Source organism: Homo sapiens, chromosome 12 (genome assembly GCF_000001405.40).
Source record: "Homo sapiens chromosome 12, GRCh38.p14 Primary Assembly".
Lineage (NCBI taxonomy): Eukaryota > Metazoa > Chordata > Mammalia > Primates > Hominidae > Homo > Homo sapiens.
The window spans coordinates 132,122,977-132,136,046 of record NC_000012.12 but is presented as its reverse complement, the minus strand read 5'-3'; the positions used below and the strand labels follow the sequence as shown (position 1 = coordinate 132,136,046).

At 52.3% G+C, this 13,070-nt stretch overlaps 2 pseudogenes across 2 annotated transcripts in view, besides 1 other annotated feature; one reads left to right on the top strand and one right to left on the bottom strand.

The window, feature by feature from the left end:
- The first annotated feature begins 3,479 nt into the window (after positions 1-3,479).
- LOC107987169 (uncharacterized) lies at positions 3,480-9,861 on the top strand (annotated as a pseudogene). Its single transcript, XR_007063616.1, has 3 exons — positions 3,480-3,689; positions 5,143-5,256; positions 9,155-9,861. The product of XR_007063616.1 is annotated as an uncharacterized LOC107987169 (transcript).
- Positions 8,401-8,901: an enhancer, noted in NCBI's record as "H3K4me1 hESC enhancer chr12:132611691-132612191 (GRCh37/hg19 assembly coordinates)". NCBI's record gives its function as "activates a minimal SCP1, AML or CMV promoter by ChIP-STARR-seq in primed H9 embryonic stem cells {active_cell/tissue: H9 hESC(primed)}" and the evidence as "EXISTENCE:reporter gene assay evidence [ECO:0000049][PMID:30033119]".
- The window catches only part of EP400P1 (EP400 pseudogene 1), a 42,058-nt pseudogene continuing 38,694 nt past the window's right edge, over positions 9,707-13,070 (bottom strand). Inside the window, exons 9-10 of the transcript NR_003290.2 lie at positions 10,651-10,853; positions 9,707-10,193 (exon numbers count right to left, since the gene is read on the bottom strand). The product of NR_003290.2 is annotated as an EP400 pseudogene 1 (transcript). The remainder of the gene's footprint in view (positions 10,194-10,650; positions 10,854-13,070) is intronic.

Sequence of the window (13,070 nt, the reverse complement as noted above, 5' to 3'; positions counted from 1 at the left end):
GAGCGGGCACCGGGGCACACTCGGGAGGTGGGAGGAGCGGGCACCGTGGGCACACTCGGGGAGGTGGGAGGAGCGGGCACCGTGGGCACACTCGGGAGGTGGGAGGAGCGGGCACCGGGGCACACTCGGGAGGTGGGAGGAGCGGGCACCGGGGCACACTCGGGAGGTGGGAGGAGCGGGCACCGTGGGCACACTCGGGAGGTGGGAGGAGCGGGCACCGGGGCACACTCGGGAGGTGGGAGGAGCGGGCACCGGGGCACACTCGGGAGGTGGGAGGAGCGGGCACCGGGGCACACTCGGGAGGTGGGAGGAGCGGGCACCGTGGGCACACTCGGGGAGGTGGGAGGAGCGGGCACCGTGGGCACACTCGGGGAGGTGGGAGGAGCGGGCACCGTGGGCACACTCGGGGAGGTGGGAGGAGCGGGCACCGTGGGCACACTCGGGAGGTGGGAGGAGTGGGCACCGTGGGCACACTCGGGAGGTGGGAGGAGCGGGCACCGGGGCACACTCGGGAGGTGGGAGGAGCGGGCACCGTGGGCACACTCGGGGAGGTGGGAGGAGTGGGCACCGTGGGCACACTCGGGAGGTGGGAGGTAGCGGGCACCGTGGGCACACTCGGGAGGTGGGAGGTAGCGGGCACCGTGGGCACACTCGGGGAGGTGGGAGGTAGCGGGCACCGTGGGCACACTCGGGAGGTGGGAGGAGCGGGCACCGGGGCACACTCGGGAGGTGGGAGGAGCGGGCACCGTGGGCACACTCGGGAGGTGGGAGGAGTGGGCACCGTGGGCACACTCGGGGAGGTGGGAGGAGTGGGCACCGTGGGCACACTCGGGAGGTGGGAGGAGCGGGCACCGGGGCATACTCGGGAGGTGGGAGGAGCGGGCACCGTGGGCACACTCGGGAGGTGGGAGGAGCGGGCACCGTGGGCACACTCGGGAGGTGGGAGGAGCGGGCACCGTGGGCACACTCGGGAGGTGGGAGGAGTGGGCACCGTGGGCACACTCGGGGAGGTGGGAGGAGTGGGCACCGTGGGCACACTCGGAGAGGTGGGAGGAGTGGGCACCGTGGGCACACTCGGGAGGTGGGAGGTAGCGGGCACCGTGGGCACACTCGGGGAGGTGGGAGGAGCGGGCACCGGGGCACACTCGGGAGGTGGGAGGAGCGGGCACCGTGGGCACACTCGGGAGGTGGGAGGAGTGGGCACCGTGGGCACACTCGGGGAGGTGGGAGGAGTGGGCACCGTGGGCACACTCGGGAGGTGGGAGGAGGGGCACCGTGGGCACACTCGGGGAGGTGGGAGGAGTGGGCACCGTGGGCACACTCGGGAGGTGGGAGGAGCGGGCACCGTGGGCACACTCGGGAGGTGGGAGGAGCGGGCACCGTGGGCACACTCGGGGAGGTAGGAGGAGTGGGCACCGGGGCATCTGCAGTGCATTGGGCAGGCCCGTCCCGGCCCTTCCACAGTGGCACGGGGGCCTGGATCCTTCCCCAGAGTTTCGAGATGTGAGAGGGGAGAGGAGCGGGAGGGACAGCAGCTGAGCACACAAAGGAAGAGGTGGGAGGGGCAAGAGGAGGACAGAGCTGTTGGTGACGGTGGGGACCAGGCGAGAGGGGGTGGGGTGGGGGCTGAGGGGTGTGCCGGGGCCATGCCGGCGGCAGGATGGTGGGCACTCACCTGCTGGGCCACCAGCTGCTGAGGGCTCAGGCAGGCGTCCGTGGCTGGGCCTCGAGGGCTCTTTGCGACCTTCACGGAGCACAGAATAGGGAGGAGGGACCTTCAATGTGCAGTGTGGGCCTGAGCTGTCCACACATTCCCGTCTCCTTACCTCTACGGAGGAAGGGGGTAGGTCTTGAAAGTAGGATAATGACAGCAAGGAGCACAGCAGCCACTGGCCTGACCCCGTGTGGCCATGTGGGAGGGGCACAGTGTGAGCTGCCCCTACCTGCATGTAGGCCTGCACTGGCGCGGTCCCCGTGGCCTTGGGAACCTGAGACATGGGGGATGGCAGAAACAGTGCTTTCCTGGTGGGCCGCGGACGGTGGGCCACGGAGGCTAGGCCACTCTCCTGGCGGGCTGCAGTGGTAGGCTGCTCTTGGCTGTTGGCCGGTTGGCTGCTAGGCCTGAACTGTGACTTGCTGGGTATTCATCTATGAACTCAAAGGACAGGCCTTAGAGAAAGAGCTGGAAGACGGCAGAGCCATGGAGGGGCGGCCAACCCCTCCTTCACCTTTCCAGACATGAGTGTTGCGCATGGCCCTGTGCATTCTAGTTGCTGAGAGACTCTAGGGCGAGTCGGACGGGTCTGGCCCTCCAGGAGCGAGGTCTGCACTGTCAGGAAGGCAGAGCAAGGCTGGCCGCAAGTGGCTCATGCCTGTAATCCCAGCACTTTGGGAGACCGAGGCAGGTGGATCACTTGAGGTCAGGAGTTCGAGACCAGCTTGGCCAACATGCTGAAACCCCATGTCTACTAAAAATACAAAAATTAGCTAGGTGTGGTGGCAGATGCCTGTAATCCCAGCTACTCCGGAGCCTGAGGTGGGAGAATTGCTTGAACCTGGGAGGTGGAGATTGCAGTGAGCCAAGATTGCACCACTGTACTCCCGCCTGGGTGACAGAACGAGACTCTGTCTCAAAAAAAAAAAACAAAAAAGGAAGGCAGAGTGAGTCCACCTGCCAGGTAACAGGCAGGGTCCCGGGTCTGGAAGGCCCACAGCCACCCCCACTCAAACTGTCATAGCCCCCCCCATCAGCCCCGGCTCCAAGGAGATGGTCCTTGTCACTGGGTAGATGCAAACTTGGGCAATCAAGAGGTGGACCCACAGGCTCAGCTGGGCCCGGTCTCCGCAGGAGGAGCCCCCGTCAGGCGGGGGGGAGGGGGGCAGAACCACCCCCACACTCCGCCCAGGTCAGGGTGGCAGCCACGTCTCTGGAGGGTGGCACAAGGCCCTCCCTTGCCAATGACACTGATGGCGTCCACATCATTGTGGGGAGGCGTGGGAAATAAAAAGAAACCACTGTACGGGTGGCAGCGACGAGCCGCACCCGAAGGCGCTCCCCCGTGGGCCCCGCTGCGCTCCTGGACCTCATCCTCCCGTGGCTGAGGAAGGAGGCGCATCCAGGCTCCCCCACCTGCGTCCCAGCCTCAGCTCTGCTACGGAGAGGCCGCCAGGCCGGGGCAGGCAGCACAGTGGCCCACACCCCTAGCTCCTCCAGCGTCCCCGCCCCTGGCAGCCCCATTGCCGGCCAGGGTCTGGCGTCTCTGAGCCAGGTGGCCCGGCTTCCTGGAAGGGCCACGCCAGTTGCACCAAGATCCAGAGAAGTCAGCCCAGGCTCCACGCAGCGGTTTGGCACATCCCACGAGGCGTCCTTACTGCAGTCCAGCCCTCCCCACGGCTCCTGCTCCCAGGGGCTGCGCCGGGCAGGGGTGGGAGGCAACACCAGGCGCCCACTCCAGGAAGGCCTGGGGGTTGCGGGGCTCATGGAAGGCATCCGGGGGTGGCGGCTGCTCTGGGCTGCGGCCCTGGGGGAGCAGCTCCCCTGGACCACACCTGGAGACTCTACCATCAGCAAAAATGACAGGGAAAAGGCCTCTGTACCACTGTCCTGTGACTGGGCAGAAAAGGAGGTCTTGCTCCCGCTCAAGGAACCTTCTAAAATGCACCTGCTGCTGCTCGCAGTTCTCTTCTTGGTGGGGCCTACAGCTCCTGGTCCAGGTCACAGCGCTTCCCATCAGGTGGGAGAGAATCACCGCCCACCAAGCCCATAGCTCTGGGGCCAGCAGGCAAAAGGGGAAAGCCCTGCTCATATTCCGAACCAGTGGCTTTTGAACACCATGTGCCTCCTGTTCAAAACTGTGCCTTGGGCTATGAGAACAGAGCCCGCAGGGACTACCATGCAAGTCAGGAAACTGCTTCCGAGGAGCCCGACCCTCCGTGGGCGGCCACTCCCCGCCTCCTCGCCTCAATGCCACACAACCAAGCTGCTCTTTAACAACCCACGTTCCACAACGCTCCTTATTCTGGTTTTGTATTTCCATTCCGTTCTCCCGCAGACTTAGTCCTAATGTATTTTATGCTTGGAATCCTTTGACAGCTCCCACAGACTTCTGTGCAACAGAAATGTGTACGAAAATTGATCACAAGGCTCTAGGCGTTCAAAAACAATGATCCCGACTGAGAGATCATTACAATTAGTATTGGTATGCAAATAGTCAACATAACATAAGCATATTACAAACTATGGTAATAACTAAATACAAAAAGTGAAATTTAACCCCAGTGAGATGGATCAGGCTGTAAACTGCCCGATTCTGTCGCTGTTCAGGGCGCCACGTGTAACCACCCTCAATCCCTGGTGGACTGAACAAAGGGGGCGAACGTGGGAATAAAAGACAAGAGACAAGAGAGTATATTTGAAAGAAGGGGTCAGGGGGCACCTTGCCTCTAGTGGACAAGGGCCCTGAGCTTTACACAGCCCTCCATATTTATTGGTAAAAGAGATAGAGCTTTACACAGCCCTCCGTATTTATTGGTAAAAGAGATCGCGACAAAGTGCAGTGATTGTCGGGTAATCGGCAGTCCGCCGTTTGGTTCACAGCAGGCTTGCGAGACTGCATCCTTCGAACAACAGGCGCTAGATTTCCCAGTAGATAACTTCAAGGACCCCAGTGCCAGGGAGTGACCGCCCTCAGCAAACCTTCTGGCAGCAGGCGCAGCTGTGAGTTTTACTCACATCCTACATTCAGGATAAACAGTTTGCTGATTGATCATATAGCCTCCAGTGGAATGCTGAGTTGGTCACGATCCCTTCGGCCTTTTTGGCTCCCAGTATCAGGCTATTTTTTTTTCAACCAGTTCATCCATTCATGGGATGACATAGATTCAGCACCGGTGCTGTTCTTATTTTTCGTATTTATAGATCAAAACACCGAGGAAAACCCGCGCCTGTAATTAAGCAGATGGCACCAGGAGTTCTGCCGCTTGACTCTGAGCCCTTCTGAAGACTTCATCAGCCGGAGCTTGACAGGTTCTCCTTCACATGTGGCTGAAGCCAAAAGAGAAGCCTCCCGGCCTGCAGGCAGCTTCGTGGGTGGCACGTGGGGGCGGCCTCCTCAGCCTTGATGGCGGGCTGTCCTCTGGCAGAGCCCTCACCAGGCAGCAGCTGACGAGGAGACCCGGATGATGACGGAAGCTCTGGAGACGTTCCTAAGGCCTCGTGACTGTGTTTGGAAGGTGTTTGCATCTGTGCAGCTCAGCGTGAGGGGCAGATAGGCTGAGCCACACCCTGGCAGCCTGGGGTGGTCGTCTGATTCTTGCTGTCCTCAAGCTCACACTCCAGTCTCACCATGCATGGCTCCCAGCCCCCTTCTTGGCCCTGGGGGGACCCTCCAGGGATCATCACCGCCAACTCTTCAGTACACCCTCTGTCCCCTGAGCTTTGCTTTCCACATCGAGGGCCATTTGCCTGCTTAAGGTGAGTTTGTTTGTGGTAAATGTTTTCAGTTTTTGTCTGAGTATGTCTTTGTTTTCACTCTTATCCTTGAAAGACAGTTTTATCCCAGCACTTTAAAGCTACTTCTGGTTTCCACAGTTCCTACTAAGAAGGGAGCTGTCCATGGAATCGCCTTTCCTTCGTGAGAAATCTGTTTTCCTCCTGGATTCTTTCATGGTTTTCTCATCTGCTTTGAGTGCCACAGTTTGCCCAGATGTGTCAGGCACAGGTATCTTTGTCTGTATCCTGCTAGGGACTTGTTGTATTTCTTCAGTCTTTAGACTGGTAAATTAAACCCATTCTGGAAAATTCTCAGCCATCCACTCTTTGAATATTTTCTTTTTTCATTCTCTTCTGGAACTCAGTTGAATGTGAGATCTTCTCACCCCTCCCTCTTCTTTTCTTATTTTTTTTGCAGAGACGGGGCCTCACTCTGTTGCTCAGACTGGTCTTGAACTGCTTGGCTCAAACAATCCACCCACACTGGCCTCCCAAAGTGCTGGGGTTACAGGCCTGAGCACTGCAGCCAGCCTGTCTTCTTTGTCTTGTTTGCTAGTCTCATGCTATCATGATTATTTCTCCAGATCTCTCTGTAGCTCGCAAATTCTCTAATGTATTGTTTAACCCTTCCATTAACTTTTTTAAAACTGCAGTATAGGCTGGGCACGGTGGCTCACGCCTGTAATCCCAGCACTTTGGGAGGCCGAGGCGGGCAGATCACAAGGTCAGGAGATCGAGACCACCCTGGCTAACATGGTGAAACCTTGTCTCTATTAAAAATACAAAAAAATTAGCCAGGCATGGTGGTGGACACCTGTGGTCCCAGCTACTTGGGAGGCTGAGGCAAGAAAATGATGTGAACCTGGGAGGCGGAGCTTGCAGTGAGCCAATATCACTTCACTCCAGCCTGGGCAACACAGCCAGACTCCGTCTCAAAAACAAACAAACAAACAAACAAACAAACAAAAAAACTGCAGTATAATTTACATACAGTCCAAGTCGCTGTTTCTGATGCATACTTCAGTTTTGATCAATGCACACAGCCATGTAACAACCATCAGCATCAAGATACAGAATCTTTCCACAGCCCCCCAGAATTCCCTCTTGTCCCTCTGAAAGTCAGTCCTTCCACTGCCCCAGCCCCTCGTGACTGCAGAGCTCTTCTCTGTTGCTATAGTGTTGTCTTTTCCAGAATGTCATATAAAAACAAAAACTGCAGCCTTCTAAGTGTGGCCTCTTTCACTCTGCATAAGACATTTCAGGCTTATCCCCGCTGCCCCCAGCATCAGTGGCCCAGTCCTGTCTCCTGCTGAGTGCTGTTTTATGGAACCGGTGGGCTGCCGTTTGTTTACCCATTGGCCAGTTGAAGAGTGTCTGGGTTGCTTTCAGTTTTAGGTAAATGAATAAAGCTTCTGTGAACACTTGCATCATTTTTCATTGTGGTTACAGTATTTGGTTATTGTGTGGACATATGTCTTCATTTCTCTGGTATAAAGAATGAGGGGCAGGATTGCTGGGTCATACAGTAAATGATTGTTTTATTTTATAAGAAACTGCCAAACTGATTCCAGAGGGCTCCACTATCTTGTAGTCCCACCAACAAGGTATGAGAATTTCTGTTGTTCCACACCCTCACTAACACTTGGTTTTGGTCTTGTCTTTTTTTTTTTTAAGGCATTCTCACGGGTGTGCAGTAGTTTCTCATTGTGATTTTTATTTGCATTTCCCAGAGGACAGTGCTTATTTGCCACCTAGAGAGCTTCTTTGGTGGAGTGTCTGCTCAAATCTGTTGCCCACTGTACAAAATAAGTTGTTTTTGTATTAGTGAGCTTTGACAGTTTTTTGTATGTTCTGGTTACACGTCCTTAATCAGCTACATGACTGGCAAAGGTTTTCTCCTGGTAACTTGTCTTTTCATTCTCTAAACAATGGTTTTCACATAGCAAGAAGGTTTAATTTTATTAAAGTATGACTTGCCAATTTTTTTCCTTTTATAGGCTCTATTTTTGGTGTCATATCTAAGAAATGTTTACTTAACCTATAGTCACAAAACTTTTTTCCTATGTTTCATAGTTTTGAATTTCATGTTTGGGTCTATGATTCATTGAGTTAATTTTCTATGGGGTGTGAGGTAGGGATCAAGATTACTTCCATTAAGTTTTGAATTTCAATTATTACATTTTTCATTTTTAGAGGTTCTATTTGGTTCATTTATTATCTGCTTAGCCTCTGATACTCTCTTGCTTATTTATGCTTTTTAGCTTCTCCTTTGTTTCTTCAAACACATTAAACATATTTGCATTTCCTATTCTAACATCTGAGTCTTTGCAGGTGTGCTTCTTTTGGCCATAACTTCTGAGGCCCCTTCTCTTGTGTGTGCTGTGATTTTCCACTATGAGCTTATAGTCTAGGGATCCTGCTGGCTGGAATTCCTTGAGGCCTGGGTTGGGGGTTCCTCCTGCAAGGACATACATTTCTTTCTACCAGAGGCCTGGGGGCACTATAGCTCCAGATATGCTTGCAATTAAAAGTCACAGTTTGCAGTTCTTTTGAACATGTAAATAATATGAACTTTGGCCCTATACCTGTGATGGAGAGTGCTAGCCAGGGGCCATAAATTTATAGGAGAGACTTTTTAAAGATGTTCCATCCACAGCCATGGCCAAGTGAGATACTGTTTCTGCAGTGAAGCTTAGAGTAGTAGTTTGCCCACTTCATCATTTCCTGGTAGTGTTTGCTGTATCCCTCTGTGAGCCCAGCCTTATATGGGGGTCTCCAATTTGGTTCTGCCCCTCCCTGGGCCCAAGGCTTCTCCAGACTGCTCCCCAAACTTACCTCAAAGTTCTAGGTCATCTGGGTCCATGGGGACCCAGGCCATAGAGTGTCTTTAGCACAGAACTACCTCCTTAGACTTCAGCCCTCGCCTGGTTTCTAGACTCACTATCCTGCAGACTCATTCACGGTTTTATATATTTTATCTGGCACTTTTTGAAAATCTGGCATTTTTAGATGTTTTGTTGAGATAGATTTTCAGGTTCTCTCATCTACCATATTACCAGAAATAGAAGTCCTTGTCAGAGTGATTTTTCACAGAAATCATTGTAAATATTTTTGAAAAATTATACTATACAGCAAAGCAAGCTCTCCCCTAGAGAGCAAATATATGTAAAAATTACAGGGTCAGAGTTCCTTGACACTCGGCCCCTCCCCACCTCCAGAAGCCCATGCAGGGAGCCTCCTCAGCTCTGTTTAACGGCTGCCTCCAAAAGGAAGGGGCTCAGTCCAGCCCCACTCTGGCCTAAGGGCCCTGAATGATGAGTGTGAGATGCAGCTCCCACAAAGCCCAGCGGCCACTTACCTTCCGCTGTGCAGCAGCAGGCCTGGAGCGGCTGAGGGCTGCACAGCTTTTTACTGCTGGTGGTGTTTCAGCTTTCGGAGCTGCTGCATGTGCAGAGGCTGCACAGCCAATCTGGCCCCCTGTGGTGACAGCAGAGAGACAGCACGCAGGACACACGAAGTGCGCATGGACAAGGATCTGCATCTCACACTCATCATTGCCGCTGATTTGCTCAGAGGAGTAACCTGCCTGGCAATGATGGTAAAGGAAATGCCTGCTGCCTTAAAAAGGAGAAATAACGCCCATGCCGCATCTCCCCTTAATAGAGGCAAGCAGCTCTTGCTGGGGGGTACAGCGGCCTCTGCTCCATTTGCTTAAAAGGGGGAGGTGCAAGGAATGAGGCTCTAATTAGGTGTCTTAAAAAATTAACACATGAGGCGCCGATGGTCGTTGTGGGAGTCGGTCTCGGTCCGGCACCCCAGAACTCCAACTGGCAGACAGGCATGTGTGACTGCTTCAGCGACTGTGGAGTCTGCCTCTGTGGCACGTTTTGTTTCCCGTGCCTTGGGTGTCAAGTTGCAGCTGATATGAATGAATGCTGTGTGGAGCAAGCGTCGCAATGAGGACTCTCTACAGGACGTGATATGGCATCCCTGGATCTATTTGTGATGATTATATGGCAACCCTTTGCGGTCCTCCTTGTACTCTTTGCCAAATCAAGAGAGATATCAACAGAAGGAGAGTCATGCGTACTTTCTAAAAACTGATGGTGAAAAGCTCCTACCGAAGCAACAAAATTCAGCAGACACCTCTTCAGCTTGAGTTCTTCACCATCTTTTGCAACTGAAATATGATGGATATGTTTAAGTACAACTGATGGCATGAAAAAAATCAAATGTTTGATTTATTATAAATGAACGTTGTCCCTGAGCTTAGCTAAATGGTGCGACTTAGTTTCTCCCTGCTTTCATATTATCGAATTTCCTGTCTTATAGACTTTTTAAATTACATTTGAAATATAAACCAAATAAAAGATTTTACTGATAAGAAAAAAAAGTTAACACATGGCAGAACAACTCAGCAACTTCTAGAATGAGAAATTTAGAAAGGTTTGATGCAACTCACTCAAGTGAGTTGTTTCGAGTTTGGTGAGGCGAAGGTGGCTGCCTACCTGCCGCTTTTTGCAGCTGCCTTATCACAACACTGATCCCGTTGCGTTGATGGAAGCACTGTGACCCTGGCTGACAGCACCACAACTGCCAGGACAGACACCACAGGGGGCGTGGCCACAGCAACCTGGGCCATCTGGTACGTCAGCGCTGACGTCAGTCTTGGGCCTTGCAGGTGGGAGGTGGAAACTCGAGTCTAAATAACAAGAAACAAGGATCACATATGCCCTGCCCTGTCACACTGCGTTATCCTTCCTCAGGGGTTGAAATCATCAGCCCCCATCAGGTATTAAAAACAATGATGAGGCCAGGCGTGGTGGTTCACACCTGTAATCCCAGCACTTTGGGAGGCTGAAGTGGGTGGATCACCTGAGGTCAGGAGTTCGAGACCAGCCTGGCCAACATGGTGAAACCCGGTCTCTACTAAAAATACAAAATTAGCCGGGCGTGGTGGTGCATGCCTGTAATCCCAGCTAATGGGGAGGCTGATGCAGGAGAATCACTTGAACCCAGGAGGGGAAGGTTGCAATGAGCCAAGATTGGGCCATTGCACTCCAGCCCAGGTAACAAGAGTGAAACTCCTTCTCAAAAAAAAAAAAAAAAAAAAAGCAAAAAAAAAGCAATGATGACCGAACGCTTACAAGCCGGGCTACCTGGAGGTTGGCCATGGTGGTGCCCATCAACAGGGCTCTGGGTCTCGGGGCCGTGACTGTGGTGAGCTGGGGGCTCTGCTGTGGTAGGCGGGTGACGGCTGCACTTGCACTTGTGTGGTTGGCTGTGCCCCGGGCAGGGCCTGTGGTGGTGGGGGTGGTGGGAGCAGCTGCAGTTTCTGTTTCTGGAGTCTAATCAAGTGCTCCTGAAGATACAGATAATACTCATGTGTTTCCTTAGTTGGCAAGCTCACTTACGCAAATCCGGAAGTTTATGTCTTTCTTCACTCATGCTTTTAAAAAGACTGTCAAGAGATGTACAGCTAATCAGATATAGATGCTACTACCAGGTATCTCTGGTATCACGGGCTTGCTTTCAGGAGCCACGTGGTTCTAATGGCACATCCTGACTGGCCCTCGGCCCCCACAAATGCACCGCCGGCAGCTCCCTCCCACACATAGGACACAACACACACTCTTGCACATGACACACAAGGCTCATGCAGAGACGCGCCATCCTCAGAAACACCCGCACACAAGGCTGGCCCTGGGCTGGCCTCAGGGAACTTGGGATTTGGGGAGGTTCCCACCATTCTCTGACCCACAGCCCCTCATCCTCTGGGCCTGTGCCGCCTTCTCCCTGCGTTCTGAGTCCTCACCACACAGCCCCGAGCTTCCTGAATGCACTGCACTGCTCCCTGTCACATGCATGTGATGTGTGCGCTACTCCTGCTGCCGTGACTTTCCCTCCCCCGTAACCATCCAGGAACTTCCTATTTGCTCTGAAGACTCAGCATGACCTCCGTTCTCCCAGGTCAGGCACTCCTTTCCCTGTGCTTTCCGATACTCACCACCAGGACTGTGAGTTCCTAGGGGCATGTGTTGGTTTTCCACTTTGAGTAGGTGATTAAAAATGGACGGATGGATGGATGGGTAGATAAGAAGATGGGTGGATGGATGGGTAGATGGATGGACAGATGAGTAGATGGATAGATGGATGGCCGGATGGGGTGGATGGATGGATGAATGAATGGACGGGATGGCTGGCTGAGTGGATGGGTGTGTGGGTGGATGGATGGATATATGGATGGGTGGGTCGGTGGGTGAATGGATGAGTAGACAGAAGGATAGGTGGATGGATGGATGAATGAATAGATGGATGGAAAAGTAGATGGGTAAATGAATGGATAGATGGATGAGTGGATGGATAGGTGGGTGGGTGGATAGACAAGTTGGTAGGTGGATCAGTGGATGGGTGGGTGAGTGGATGAATGGAGGGACAGATGAGTAGGTAGACAGGTAGGTGGGTGAATGGATGGATGGATGGACAGACAGGTGGGTAGATGGATGGATGAATGGGTGGGTGGGTGAGTGAATGGGTAGAAAAGCACTGGGACTATAGGTATGAGCCACTGCACCCGGTATATGTATTTTAAATTTAGCCATTAAATTTGAAAGATAAAGCATATAAAGTGGATGTTTAAAATCTTTTTCTTTTCTTTCTTTTTTTTTTTGAGACAGAGTCTCACTCTGTCACCCAGGCTGGAGTGCACTGGTGCGATCTCAGCTCACTGCAACCTCCACCTCCCGGGTTCAAGCGATTCTCCTGCCTCAGCCTCCCGAGTAGCTGGGACTACAGGTGCATGCCACCATGCCCGACTAAGTTTATTTTTAGTAGAGATGGGGTAAAATCTTTTTCTTAAATACAGCACAAACTCACATCATAGGGGTGCACCAAGTCACATTTCAGCTGGATGCCTGCATGTCGAAATCTCTGATTAGCCAAAGCCAATATTACCATCAACAGAATAAACTCTGTGACAGATGAATAAATCTGACATTTTATTTTTTAAATAATATTTTAAATTTAGGGGTCAAGCTTATTTGTATCTGTGAAAAATTCCCAAACTAGTACTTTTTCTTAAAAGACTTGTCAACAACAGAATTAAACGCTGTCCTTGAAGATGATTTTGCTCAATGCTGTGAATGCCACAGTTCATCCCAACACACAGATCAGAATCAGCCTCCAATCCAATCTTCCCACCACGCTTGATATTATTACTTACATGTTTGGAAATACATGTTGGTTCAAAAAAGATAAAATGTGCTTCCTAAAGTGTTCTACCATGGAGTCTCTCTTTATGTTTGTAGCAACTATTAATCTATTTCTGTATTTTATTATTAGAAAGTTCTTGACAATTATTTGTGGGCACAAAATTACCAGCTTTCACAATAATCATTCATTGTGCTGCAGCCTTCTGCCACTGCAACAACAGATACAGGTTCATATTTCAACAACAGAACTTCTAAATATAAAATCCCATAAGGGTTTTTTCTTTTTTTTTTAATCCCAAGTCACCTGAATACACACCCACATTTAGAAGTGAATATTCTGGCTGGGCACAGTGGCTCACACCTGTAAT